Genomic DNA, 14,292 nt, shown 5'->3' on the forward strand with positions numbered 1-14,292 from the left:
GGTCTCAAACTGCTAACCTCAGGTGACCCGCCTGCCTCAGCCTCCCAAAGTGCTGGGATTACAGGGGTGAGCCACCACGCCCGGCCTCTTCTCTAGTTTTTAATAGACATTTTAAGAAGAACAGAATTATACCCTACAAAGCATTCTTTAAGTTTATGGGAAACCTTAATTAAAAAAACAAAATGCTACACCTTTTTAGAGACTCAACATTCTTTTTTAAATATCGTCAGAGTCATCAGAGTTCAAATTCAGCTTATGATAAAAAATGCTTTTGAAGCAACAACAGCAAGCAAAGCTTTAATTCTGGCCAATGCTAGTTATGCTTCAGTGAGCGTCAGAATCAAAGAGGACAGTTACAATGCAGATTCCTGGGCTCTACCACCCATTAGGTAGGACAGTGTGGGGCCTAAGCATTTGCATTTTTAACAGTCTCCAGGGAGACATTGATGCTGCTGATCTGTGGACCATGTTTTGAGTAGCACTGATCTAGGGATGACCTGGGAAGCATAGTATGTGTTAACAATTTAAATTATGTTTTTCAGAAAAATAATTTCAACTGTACCAGAAGAGCCCAGTGCCCAGAAACCAATATCAGTTCTATACAGATACAAGGTGATGCTGATTATTTCATCAACCATCTTGGAGTTCCCATCGTGCAGTTTGCTTACGAGGACATCAAAACATTAGAGGTGATTGTTCCTAAAAAATGCAAAACACACACACACAATATAGTAGACCTGCAGAATTTGATTTTATCCTGGCTATTCAATTTTCATATCAAATAGGTCACTATAGAAAAGCGGCTTCATTTAGAGAGTTATTCTTGCTTTTTCAAAGGCTTTGTAATAGTATTTGAAAACATCAGCTCTTTTCAATAGTATTGAATTCAATTTAAAAAGATTTATACTGTCACTCACATTTTCACACAGTGCTCTGCAATGAGAAATTTGCAGTAGTTGGATTAACATCAAAACATAATTGTAATCTTTGGTATTCACAGAAACAGATGACATGTGCAATAGATTCTCCTCTCCTTGCCCAAAGGAAAATGCACTTCATGGTCTGTATGTTAATGTGAGCCTTGTGGATTAGCTACCCAAAGTTTGTCAATAGTTTGCCTGCTTAAAAAAGATAGTACTTTTTTTGTGAAGATGGAAGCATTTTTTTCCAAAGAATATCACAAAAGCATGATTCACCTTAATTAAGTCTCTGTTCATCCATCTTTTGGACTTCAATCCTTCTAATCTTTCTCAGAATTGTGTCTCAGGAAACTGTTTCTCTGTGGATCTAAACCTGTTGGGACATTTTACCTTCATTTACAAATTATTTATGCATTATTCGGAGCTATTTGAAAGCCTCTAGAATGGCTTACTTGAGGTAATTATTACATTAACAAAATAATGGCTGGAAAGTACGGTAAAATCTGCCTTGCTCTTCAAATATAAATGTTCCTCAGAAGGGGTGCTTAAATTATGTTTGTATAGGCTCAACTTTAGATATGCAATATCTTAATTTTTAATAGCATTGAGTAATATTTGGCTTTATGTTTCTCTGCAACCACACAGAAAATATTTTAATTCTTACTTATTATGTGTCTAATTCATCTTGGTTTAGTTTTAAGCCAAGAATTTAGAGAGAATAGTATAGCCTTGGGAATGAGATGGAAGCCCTGACTCTGACACTTACTCGACAAATTATTTAACATCTTTCAAAATGATTTTACAAATGAAGTACTTTGGTATATTTAGGGACTCTACAGAGCTGTGGTGAGGATTAAATGAGACTATGCCTGTAGAGGGTTTAGCTAACCTTGAGCAGATAATAAGTCCCCACTATTGCAGTTATTATTGTCTGATTGTAAGTACAACATATTAATGGGGTAATTTCTAAACTTTTTAGATAGGAACACATCAGTAGAAGGGAGTAGTTTGTTAATTGTTGAGGAAAACACATTTATCAGGCTGAGGAGGTGGAATTTGATGAGGATCAGCTGGAGGATCTGAGGTGTTAATAGGGAGAAGATTTTGAAACAGGGACCAGTGAAATTCTAAGAAGAACCGTATTATCCTAAGGCTAAAGTCTATCTAACAGAACTGGCTTAGTCTGAAGGATCCAATCGTTTTCAAATTATACCCAGAATATCTAACTCCCACCATCAAAATCATTTGTATTATTTATCTCCAAAAAAAGAATTAAAATGGAGTCCCCTATGCTTTATAATAAATGACCTTGTTGATATTGCTTTAGTGGGAGAATTTTTAAAATGGATTTATCCCTTACAAAATGTGAATGCTTGAGATGAAATAATTTTTTTGAACTCTCTGAGGAACAGAATACCCTTTGCTTTCTGTGTTAACCTATAATAGATATTGGTATACAGCTATTAAGAGGAATTTTAAATATTAAAAAAAGGCCTTACCCATGATGTAAAAAATATTTATCCTATATCAATTAGTAAAGCAGGTAAGGAAATTAGAGCTTTTTTTATGAAGTCACAGTTACAAATATATACGGAAAATAGATTGGTAGATTTGGAATTAGGAGGCCTGAAATTTTAAATCGCTTCATGTTAATGGTCCAGTTACATTGGTTTCTGGGCTTCTGCTTTTTTTTAAAAAATCCGTATCTTATTAAAAACAAAATAAGAATAGGTGCAACGGTTCATGCCTGTAGTCCCAGCACTTTAGGAAGCCGAGACGGGCAGATTGCTTGAGCCCAGGAGTTTGATACCTGGGCAACACGGTGAAATCTTATTTCTACGCAATAATACAAAAATCAGCTGGCCGTGTTTGCAGGTGCCTATAGTCCCAGCTACTGGGGATGGTGGGGAGGGCTGTGATGGGAGGATCGCTGGAGCCCTGGAGGGGGAGGTTGCAGTGAGCCAAGATCACACCACTGCACTCCAGCCTGGGTGACAGAGTGAGACACTATCTCAAAACAACAACAACAACAAAAGAAGCCCATAATATCTACCACTTATTGCTTATTTACCACTTATTGAGTACTTGCCATGCTAAGCATTTTATACCCCTTATATCATTTATTATTTAAAACATCACTATAAATTAGCTTTTATTATTAACTCTGTTCATGCTGAGAATGAAATGGAATTTAAAAGCTAGTAGCTTTTCCAAGGTCGTAAAGATTAATAAATGGCCAAGACAGATGTTGATCTAAGATATGTTTGACAGTAAGCCTATGTTCTCAACTATTATACCAAAGACTGCAAATTGGAAGCCCAAGGGCAAGAGATAGTCTATCAATATATTTTGTTTGACCTATAAGTTACTGAAAAATTGAATGTCTGGAAATATTGTGTACTTTTTCTCCACGGAAACAATCAACTAAATGGGCACTGCTCACTAGCCTGCCATGTTGTTTGTCCAAGAGTGCAGTTAAGAAGAAAATTTTCTTCAACACCTGTTTCTGTCAAAGATTAGAAGATGAATACTCAACTAAGGGTCAAATGTTTCACCAGACTTGTGTCACTTATAGTATCTGTGTGGCCCCTGTAGGGACTGAGCTCATTATCTCTGCACTCACTTTAGTAAAAGAGTTAAAGTGAATAATTTTATAGCTGCTTCCACTTTCAAAGGGTGTTTTCTAAGAGAGTTAATTTTATTATTATATCCATGGTTTTGAAGAAATCATCTATTTGACATTTATTTGGGTGATTATAATGCAAATCTTAGAATTACTATTATCTATCTATCTATCTATCTATCATCTATCATCCAGTGAGATTGATCATGGATCTATTATATTCAATTTCAACAAGTGAATCATGATAATAGGTGAAAAATTGAACTGTAGGAAAATAAACTAGTGCAATAGAGGCCAATTTTTATGGACATGTCAAAAAAACATGACATTTTGTAATATCTATCCCCAATATTTCAAGCTATTCCACATTCCCACCAATGGCTTTTACCTGTAGTTTCTCTGGATGCAAACACATTGCATAAAATTGCTTAAAACACCTTTGATCTTTAGCTTTTCTTGGCCTCTATACTCTAATTTTCCAATAATTAACTTTTGCAAATGCATTGCGATCTATGGATTTGCCAAATGTTAGAATGATTCCTTCTCATAAAATAGTGCCTTGTTAATTGAAACATTTCCAGTTGTAAGCTTCATTTAAATAAGGTTTTAGATTTATTAACACCATTGCACCTGTTGTGAGAAGCATTCTGTACAGATTAAATACAATGCGGAGAATGTCAAAAAGGAAAAGACAGATGCTTTCTGATTAAGAGTGCAATATTTATGGCAGTCTGGTGATCCAATGCACATTTCCTCTGTCACTTAACAGCTGTTTTACATTTTTGTTTCAATCAGTATTTTTATTCTCTACAGGGCATGCCAGAGGGTCTATCTTTCTTAGTATATCAGAAGATCAATCCATGCCCTAGCAAGCTTCATATCATAAATTGAAGCTCTGATTCCTCACTCTGTTTAACCTTATACTTTTCGCTGTTCTGTTTGAAACATTCTATTTTAAACCCAATTTACCTCTATAATAGAGCATTTAACATTTAAATAATAATGAGATAAAAGAGTATTATAGCTTTTATGTAGCAGGAGTCATGGCATAATTGTTTCAATATCATTTAATAACCCAGGGACAGAAATTCAAGTACCGTAGGTATTTTGAAACTCTTACTAAATTTTTTTAAAGCTAGATAACTTTGATACCAATTCTAATTTTTAAAGCAATATACAGCAGTATGTAATTATGCCTCTGTGTGTGTGTGTGTGTGAATTTTAACATTGAGGTAATTCTATGAGATAAAAGTAATAAAAGTAGTTCATTTGTGCAAATATAATACAGATACAGTTTGACAATACACATATACAGATGTTGGAACAGTGTAACTCATAGTTTACCTGCTGATTTTTCATGTTTTACTTTAAGTAGAAGAATTTGTTACTTTCATTACATTTCAGTCTTTCATTACATTTTCTATTTGGAACTGAGTCATAATCAATGTTAGGTAAACAGAAATAGTTCCAAAGTCCTTTAAAAGTTCTTGATTTAAGGAAACAAAATGGTTACATTTAACTGTGTATACGTTCTACTGATGTTTTGCAGTATCTGATGAAATCTGTTTCATGTGGGTAACTACAAAACTTATATAAAGTCACTTAAGAATGAAATTTTACCTTTTCTACTTCAAAGTGTGCCAGTTGTAAACAAGATGAAAAGGGGTTCATTGGTGTTCTCTCTAGATCATTATCTTTCTTTGTAACTTATTTTTTTAAAAATTTCTTACAATATGGTATTTAGATATATGTCATTATTATTTTCAGATCAGACTTGCTTCATTTAGTGCTGGGGTTCTCACATATTTTGGTCTAAAAATCCATTTACCCTCAAAAGTACCAAAGATTCCTCAAAACAGAGTTTTGATTATATGGTAATATCTACATAGTAGAAACTAGAAGTGAGAAAAATACATAATATTTATTTTAAAATTATTTCATAATATCAATAACTAAATTAGTATTACATTGTTATAATTATTAGCAATATAAATAAATCTAATACAAACTAATGAAAATAACTTATTTTATTAAAAAATATTAACCAAGACAAAAATATAAATGAGAAGAGTGATGTTATCTTACAGTTTCAAAAATCTCTTTAAAAAAGGCTGAATAGGCCGGACGCGGTGGCTCATGCCTGTCATCTCTGCCCTTTGTGAGGCTGAGGCGGGAGGATCACCGGAGGTCAGGAGATCGAGACCAACCTGAAGAACATGGTGAAACCCCATCTCTACTAAAAATACAAAAATTAGCTGGGCGTGGTGGCGAGTGCCTGTAATCCCAGCTACTCAGGAGGCTGAGATAGAAGAATCACTTGAATCCTGCAGGCGAAGGTTGCAGTGAGCCGAGATGGCGCCACTGCACTCCAGCCTGGGGGACAGCGTGAGACTCTGTCTCTAAATAAATAAATAAATAAAGCCTGAATACAAGACAATTGGATTTTCATACCTGTTCCTGCATTATCTTTTGTAATATGTTGTTTTATTGTAAAAGTATGAAGAAAAATCTGCTCCAATATTTTATTCATATAATGACAAGTATTTTTCTTTGGAGCTACATTGAAACTTAATGAGTATTAGTTTCCTAAAGGTTAATATCAATGTGGAATCTTAATCCATCTTAATAAACTTTTTGTACTCCACACACTTGTGAATGTAGAGTGAAAATGAGAGTGAAAAGGGCATATAATGTTACTAGCATTATAAAAATAGTTTTGATCTCCTGATCCTTGAAGGTCTCTGGCCCACACTTAGAGGAATGCTTATTTGAGGAAATGGACTTGGTTAGACCAGTCTACTTTATTTTTTGTAATGTCTGACAAGGCATTCAACTACATCTTATTCAAAGATTTGAGCTGTGATTCTATATAAAACTGTGTATCTTTTCTGGGCATCTTTGAGTATTGCTATCCCATTCACCTGACAAACAGCATGAAGTAGAGAATAAAACACTGTCATAAACTGTGCTTCTACAAAGAATTCTGCTTCTTAAAGGCATTTCTTTAGAAGAGAAGGTTAAACTCCAATCAACAAATCAACAGTTATAGAGCAGACTTGAAAACCTTGATTGTACAGTATATGAAATGCCTGTCATAAAGGAAGCCTGTTAAAATTACTGTATACTTCCAAGAGTCTGAGGAATAAACACAAGAAGTTGAAATATGAGACAAATACTAAAAAAAAAAAAGAAGAATGGAGAATGGAGATACACTTAAAACACAAATGGATAATTTAAAAGATCTACTTCAAATTGCCTAATATTTTGAAATGGCTGCAAGGAGGACAGCTTTCCCTTAGCAGTTGTCCTTGCTTAGAAATCTAAATAAGAATATTTATTCTAAATGACTATATCATTGGATCAAAATATATAGCATACGCACTATATTTTAATTCTAATGCTGCTTTCAGTGATTATCTTGTGATCATCTTTGTTATGATGAAAGGAGTTTTCTAATAAAGCCTTTTTAAAAATAATTTCAATAATGCTACTTGCAGGTGGGTTAATGATAAACCATGTTATAAAATTGACAACAGTCAAGTTAAGAATATAGGACAACTTTAACATATTTTATTAACTGTTAACAGATATTTGTTATTTAGCCAGCAGTTATTAAGCACTTGCTGTGATCCAGGCACTGTGTTAGAAATACAAAGATGAATAAAACATGCCCCTCTTTCTCTCAAAGTGGTCACAGTCTAGATTCAAACTCAGTCGTATAAACAATTAAATAAAGTAAGTACAATAGAAGTTCTCATCATTGACTTCCATTTAACCAACACGCAGAACTGATTGACAATTTCCACTCCTTTAAAACGTAATGGCCAATGATCAAAGATTTCTGAAGCTCCTCACAGTAAGACCCTTTCTGGAGTTTTGTGGACTTTTATTCTCTCAGGTTCAGTGATATGCTTGCGTGGAGTCAACTACATTCTCAAATCTATACAGATGCTACTCGACTTACAGTGGGGTTACAGCCCAATAAACCCACCATATGCTGACAATTTCCTGTCTAAAATGCATTTAATAAACCTAACCTACCAAACATGTTACCTTAGCCTAGCCTATACTCAGAACTCTTTCGGTACAGCAGTCAATAAATTACATGATATATTCAACAGCTTATTATAAAATAGACTTTGTGATACATTATTGATCCCAGCATCAAGAGAGTATCGTGTTGCATATCACTAGCCCATAAAAAAGACCAAAATTCAAAATTTGAAGTATGGTTCCTACTGAATGTTTATCACTTTCACACCATCATAAAGTGGAAAAATTGTGAAGTCAAACCATCGTAAGTTGGAGACTGTCTGTATATGCCCTTTGCAAATGCAATTGTATCTCATGATTAGACAATTTAATTGTTACATAAGCTTGTGAATCGTGAATATGAAAGAAAAGCTGCTAAGAAACCTATATTTACGACAATCTGAAAGGATGAGCTGCAAAAAAAAAAAAAAAATCAGATGTGTGGGGAACCAGGCAACTATCAAAGACTGGAGGAAATTGATAGTAATCTGGATGCATTCTGAAATCAGTTTACTTCATGAGTATTTTTAAAAGTTTTAAACAAGAGGCAGTAATGCAGATAATGTATAGGGCAAGAAAGAAATAATAGAATTTTATTCAACAAGACAATGTTCAGAGAAAAAGCCTTGGCTTTACTTCAAAATATTGGCCAATAAATGTGCACTCACAGGTTTTTAATTAAAATACAAAGTTTTACTTAATTTGGTTTCTTTTTAAAAAACTGATTATTTATATGAACTAGCTTCTAATTAATTAACCTGTCAACCAGTAGGACAAATCATATTTGCCAAGAGGACAGTAAAATGATAAAGGCAAGGTAGAGCAAGGAAAATTATATTGAACAAACACTTATATAATGTTTGCGTCAGGCATTGTTCTGTTCTAAGTCTTTTATACATGTTAACTCAATTATTACAGTTATAAAGTTGTAACTAGCACCAGTGAGGAAGGTACTATTGTCACTACTTTTTTTTTTTTTTCTGCGATGGAGTCTGGGTCTGTCACCCAGGCTAGAGTGCATTGGTGCGATCTCAGCTCACTGCAACCTCCACCTCCGAGGTTCAAGCAATTCTCCTGCCTCAGCCTCCTGAGTAACTGGGATTACAGGCATGCACCACCATGCCCAGCTGATTTTTGTATTTTTAGTAGAGTTGGGGTATCACCATGTTGCCAGGCCAGTCTCGAACTCCTGACCTCAGGTCATCCACCCACCTTGTCCTCCCAAAGTGCTGGGATTACAGGTGTGAGCTACCACGCCCGCCCTACTGTTATCACTTTTATTATAGATGAGGAAACTGAGCACAAAGCAGTTAAGAAAACTGGCCAAGGTCACCCATCTATTCAATGATAGAATCAAGATTCCAACCTAACATTCTATCACCAGATTTCTGGACTCTTTTCTCTACTTTTATGCTGTTTCTCAAGGTTTTCTAGACAAAATGATGTATAGTCATGTGTCTCTAATGATGGAAATATGTTCTGAGAAATGTCATTAGGTGATTTTGTTGTGTAAACATCATGGAGTGTACTTACACAAAACTAGATGGTATAGCCTCCTAGACACCTAGGCTATATGGCGTAGCCTATTCATCCTAGGCCACAAACCTGCACAGCATGATACTGTAGACTGTACTGAATACTAGAGACAATTATAATACAATGGTATTTGTGAATCTAAACATATAAAAAGTGCAGTAAAGTACAATATAAAAGTTAAAAAGTGGTACACATGTATAGGGCACTTATTATGAATGGAGCTTTCAGGACTGGAAGTTTCTCTGGGTGAATGAGTAAGTGGTGAGTGAATGTGAAGGCCTAGGACATTTCTGTGCACTATTAAAGACTTAATAAACACTATACACATAGGCTACACTAAATTTATTTTAAAAATCTTTCTTTAGTAATAAATAACCTTAGTTTACTGTAACTTTTTTACTTTGTAAACTTTTTTTTAACTTTTTGACCCTTTTGTAATAACATTTAGCTTAAAACCCAACATATTATAGAGCTGTAGAAAAATATTTTCTTGTTTGCTATCCTTATTCTATAAGCTTTTTTCTATTTTTATAAATTATTTATTTATTTACTTTAAAAAATTTTTTTTGTTAAAAACTAAGGCACAGACACACACACTAACCGAGGCCTCCACAGCATTAGGATCTTCAAGACCTCATTAGGCAACAGGAACTTTTCAGTATCATTGTACTCTTATGGGAGTACCATAGCATATGCCATCCATCATTGACCAACATGTTATGCAGGACGTGACTGGATTTCTAAAACACCTTTTATCTTCTGCTAGATTCATGGTGAAGTATAATGCAACAGTGCTTAATTCTTATTCTTCTAGTTTTCTATACAAAGGTCCTAAATGTTTTAGCTTTGGCCATTCTCAACGTTAAGCAATAGCTATAAATGGGTAATATTTCTTAGCTGAATTGAAAATAAACTGATAATTTATAAATACTGACAAGAACTAATGTTAATGTTTCCTTGTAGTAGTTTGTTTATTGTTTTACAAAACAGAGCCTATAACTAGATTCTATGCATCCAAAAGTTTACATTTCCAAAAAATATAAGTGGAATGAATTAAGGGCATTATAGGAAAAATATGATAAAATCAACCTACTCTAAACATGAGTATTTAGTTTCCTAAATTAAAAAAAAATAAAGATATGATGACGATTTTCCTTGTCTCTTCATTCCTTGGTAATTGTCCGTGTAATGTAAAGGTGAGTTGCTTTTATGTTGCATTTGTTCTATCCCTTGTTTCCTAATTTTATTTCCAAGTTGATTTTGGAATATGAGGAGATGAACAAGTTCATGTCTTCTAATTTCCATGACAATGCCACATTTCTTTGAGTAGAATATTTTTAGATTTGAAAATATTTTGGAAACTAATTTAGATGATTTTTTTAAAAATTTAAGATTAAAATGTTAAGAACAGGTTTGATACCCATGTGCTCTAACAATAAACTCCAGTAGGAAATGACTCATCTGGAGCTCAAATAGCTGTGGATGATGACTATGGCCATGAATGAATTTCCACGCCCTGTTCTTGAATCTCCACAACTTAATCTTATTTTATTTACATCGGGAATGGCAGGTTTCTATGTCTAGTTCACAGCTTGTATACACAGAAACTTATCTTGTTTTTATTTTTTAAATAAGCAAATGTTTCTGTACAGACTACAAAGAAGACATAGCCTTGAAGTCTCATAAATGTTAAAAAATAAAAAAAAAATAGATTGAGGTCAACGCTACTTGGCTTATAAAGATCACTACTTCTTCTTCATGAAAGTTTTGGCTTTTACATTAGTCTCAAGAGGGCTGCAGTTGTCTTCAGTCTCCTTTCATGCTGTTTTTGTTCCTGTGACTTTAAATGGATGGAAATAATGCTGAAGAGAACAAAGTATTTACCAGTATTTTGATTTCTACAGTCTCTTCTCAATAGCTATAGCCTTGAAATTATTCATGTCTAATATTCTGTTACAAGTGAAGAACATTTTAATTCTAAATAGTGCAATGTTTATGTAGTACTGAAAGTGGACAAAGGTGAGAAAAAATAAACTCTACCTTTATGTACAAGGTCATTTTCAGTTTCCTAAACCAGTACTTTGTTGCTTTATTTTTATTCATGATGATTCTTATTAGAGCATTAGAAATTTTACATATACTACATGCTTACAAATAATTTCTAATTAATGACTCAGGTATATATAATTAATACAACCATAATACATATAAGAATTTTGGGTAAATGCTGCTGGGACCTATGCTTAGAAATAATAACATTGGATTAGGACATTGCCCATGGCAAAACATTGGGGTTAAATTTAGGGTGCTTTGTCTCCCACTACTAGGCAAACCCCATTGACTACCACTGGTTTGAAGACTTCCAGCAGTTCAGGGATGATTTTGAACAATCCAAATGATTAAAGTAAGATCAGAGGCATCTTTGGTGAAAGGATGGTCCCAAGAGTAGTGGGTCCACGGATGTGCATGGCCCTGACTCCCTCTGATGGACTGACACCAACACTCATTGACTCATTGATTTTTAGAGTAGCATTGATCGTGGATCCCAAATATTTTTATTCATTACTCTATAGTAAAAGGAAATAAATGCTTAGACAGATTCATTCAATTGACTGAAAGTTTTTAATAAGAGTTAATTGCAGACTTAGTTCTCCCTACTCCCAGTGCTTTTAAACTCCTATATGTTTTATTCTTGCTCTTGCTTCTTTTTCACCTATGTAGTTCAAACTCATAATGTTAAAGGGTCAACAGTATTTTCAGTTTTTTAGTTGATTCTGAAATTTAGTCTATTTCAACTGATTAAACTTGATATTTTATATTTGCTCACAGATGAAGCCATAGCCTGGGCTTCTCCTAAATTTTCAGGTGAACATGAGGCAATGGTAGCAATGAAGGCATATATATTACATGGAAAAATAATAAATATTTAAATGTCATGAATCAAATTAAAACACTGTTAAATAAAATTTTATCTTCCTTCCTAACTTGAGAAAAACCTATTTAACATGATTGGGAAGGGTGGGTTAAAATTTAATGTTCTTAGACTCCCGAGAATCCCATGCCCTAATGTGGTAAAAGAGGAAGTACTGGTCCCCAAGCCCCTCATTAGTGATTCTTGACCTATTTTTCCTTTGCTGCCTACTTTGACCCCGTCTCGTACCATGAGAGACTTTGCATATGTGTGGACACCCAGTTTGCATTTTTAAGCACAGTTCATAACCCACACAAATAGTTGCTCCTCACCCACTTCCTTGGCTTTGTATTACACTGTGGAGGGACAGACGACAGACCAGATGTGATACACCTGGAGATGATACACCTGGGGAAGAGGACAACTCAATCACTGGAAGCCAATATGGGGCCATTTGTGCAGGGAATTCTGAGATCCTAGAACTCAGGGTAACTAGAACTTGATCAAAAGGGGAGTTGTGGACTCTGTACACATCTATGTTGATTTAACTTTGAAAAACCTTGGGGTAAAAAAAAAAAAAAATGCCTAGACTGTACAACCCAAACTTTGAGTATGCCAAAAGACAGTAACGCCTGGTAGGAAAAGTATGTATATTCTTTAATAAACCTGATCCAATGCCTTAATCTTGTTACCTAAGATTGGTCCCTAAGAAATGTGGACACCTGAGCCAATTATTATAGAGTCATTGGCAATCTCAATTGGGTTTTGGTCTAAACTGGGTTTTAAAAGGTGTAGCTGTTCAGTGGTTGTGACCAGAACCTGTGAGGTACTCAATACAGCAAACCATTCCCAGGATATGGTTGAAAATAGATTTCAAAATATAATACTATAGGGGTATAAAAAGAAGTAAGAAGTTGTCCCAAAATGTAGAATCTTCAGTTAAAGAAACACAGTATCTGGGAGATGTGTTTTTAAGAAAGAGCTCAATTTAGGAGACTTTCTTTCTTTCTTTTCTTTTTTTTTTTTTTTTTTTTTTGAGATGGAATCTTGCTCTGTCGCCGAGGCTGGAGTGCAGTGGCACGATCTCGGCTCACTGCAAGCTCCGCCTCCTGGGTTCACGCCATTCACCTGCCTCAGCCTCCTGAGTAGCTGGGACTACAGGTGCCTGCCACCACACCTGGCTAATGTTTTGTATTTTTGGTAGAGATGGGGTTTCACCGTGTTAGCCAGGATGGTCTCGATCTCCTGACCTCGTGATCCGCCCGCCTTGGCCTCCCAAAGTGCTGGGATTATAGGCGTGAGCCACCGTGCCCTGCCAGGAGACTTTCTAAGCAAAGAAATACATAATCAAACTTGATCAAACTACGGGCAAGCTCAAAACGTTTACTAATTGCCATCAACTCCAATTTAAAGATTATGGCCACATACTACTTTGAAAAGTTTGTAGAATGGTGTGTTTTATAACCCATAAATGGTGTGTGTATACATACCAAAATATTTTAGGCAAAGAAACATATTTAGATATTTTTTGACAGAGGATCATTAGAATTTATGTGTTTGAATCTTAATGAGAAGCATGTAAATTCTAAATTAAAACAGTAGAAAGAAAGAAGGGAGTGTTGGTTAAGAATTTAATCTGAATTTATTCAAGTTACTTTTGTTCTACTGGTAGCCATAGTACTTTAGTTTATATCTTGCAGAGATAACCCTGCTGTGTAGCATAATATAAATAAAATATTATACCAGAAAGCTAAATAGTCCTACTATTTGCTTGAAACATTGGTACTGGTAAATAAATGGATAAATCAATGTATGGATACAATTTGTTGTTACCATTTTGATGATAGTTACTAAGTGCTCACAAATATTAATTCCCTCCTTTCTATCCTTATTTTCTTCCTTCTTTCCTTCTCTCCTTTCCTTTCTTCCTTCCTTTCTTCTTTCCTCTGTTTCTTCTTTTTTAAATTTCTACCTTTAATTAAAATTTGATCATTGTGTATATATAATTCCTATTTATCTATCTAAAATAAAATTAATATAGCTTTTCATGTTATTTAAAAACACGTAAACATACCATTACATAGTTGCATCATAATTGATATAACTATTAAATGCTGTTGGATATTAAGTTTGCCTGCATTGTTTTGTTATTATAAGAAACCTTTTGTTGAGCATTTTTAGAATTGATATTTGTTCCTCTCTCTAATTCTTCTAGGATAAATTTCTAAGCATAAAATTTGGACCAAAGTAAATATTTAAGCCCCTTGACA

The 14,292-nt window shown here is 34.4% G+C and overlaps 1 protein-coding gene across 23 annotated transcripts in view; it reads left to right on the forward strand.

Annotated features, from left to right (window-relative positions):
- Positions 1-14,292, forward strand: part of NAALADL2 (N-acetylated alpha-linked acidic dipeptidase like 2) — a 1,369,567-nt gene that overhangs the window by 1,134,517 nt on the left and 220,758 nt on the right. For 20 of the 23 annotated variants that reach the window (XM_017006077.3, XM_047447876.1, XM_017006075.3 and 17 more), the window contains one exon: positions 543-689. The exons of 1 other annotated variant lie outside the window; for it this stretch is intronic. In XM_017006077.3, coding sequence (XP_016861566.1) covers positions 543-689 — 147 coding nt within the window. Of the gene's footprint in view, positions 1-542; positions 690-5,653; positions 7,020-14,292 lie in introns of those variants that run through there. 2 more of the 23 variants (XM_047447881.1, XM_011512617.4) reach the window with 1 other exon arrangement.

This window comes from Homo sapiens, chromosome 3 (assembly GCF_000001405.40).
Source record: "Homo sapiens chromosome 3, GRCh38.p14 Primary Assembly".
Classification (NCBI taxonomy): Eukaryota; Metazoa; Chordata; class Mammalia; order Primates; family Hominidae; genus Homo; species Homo sapiens.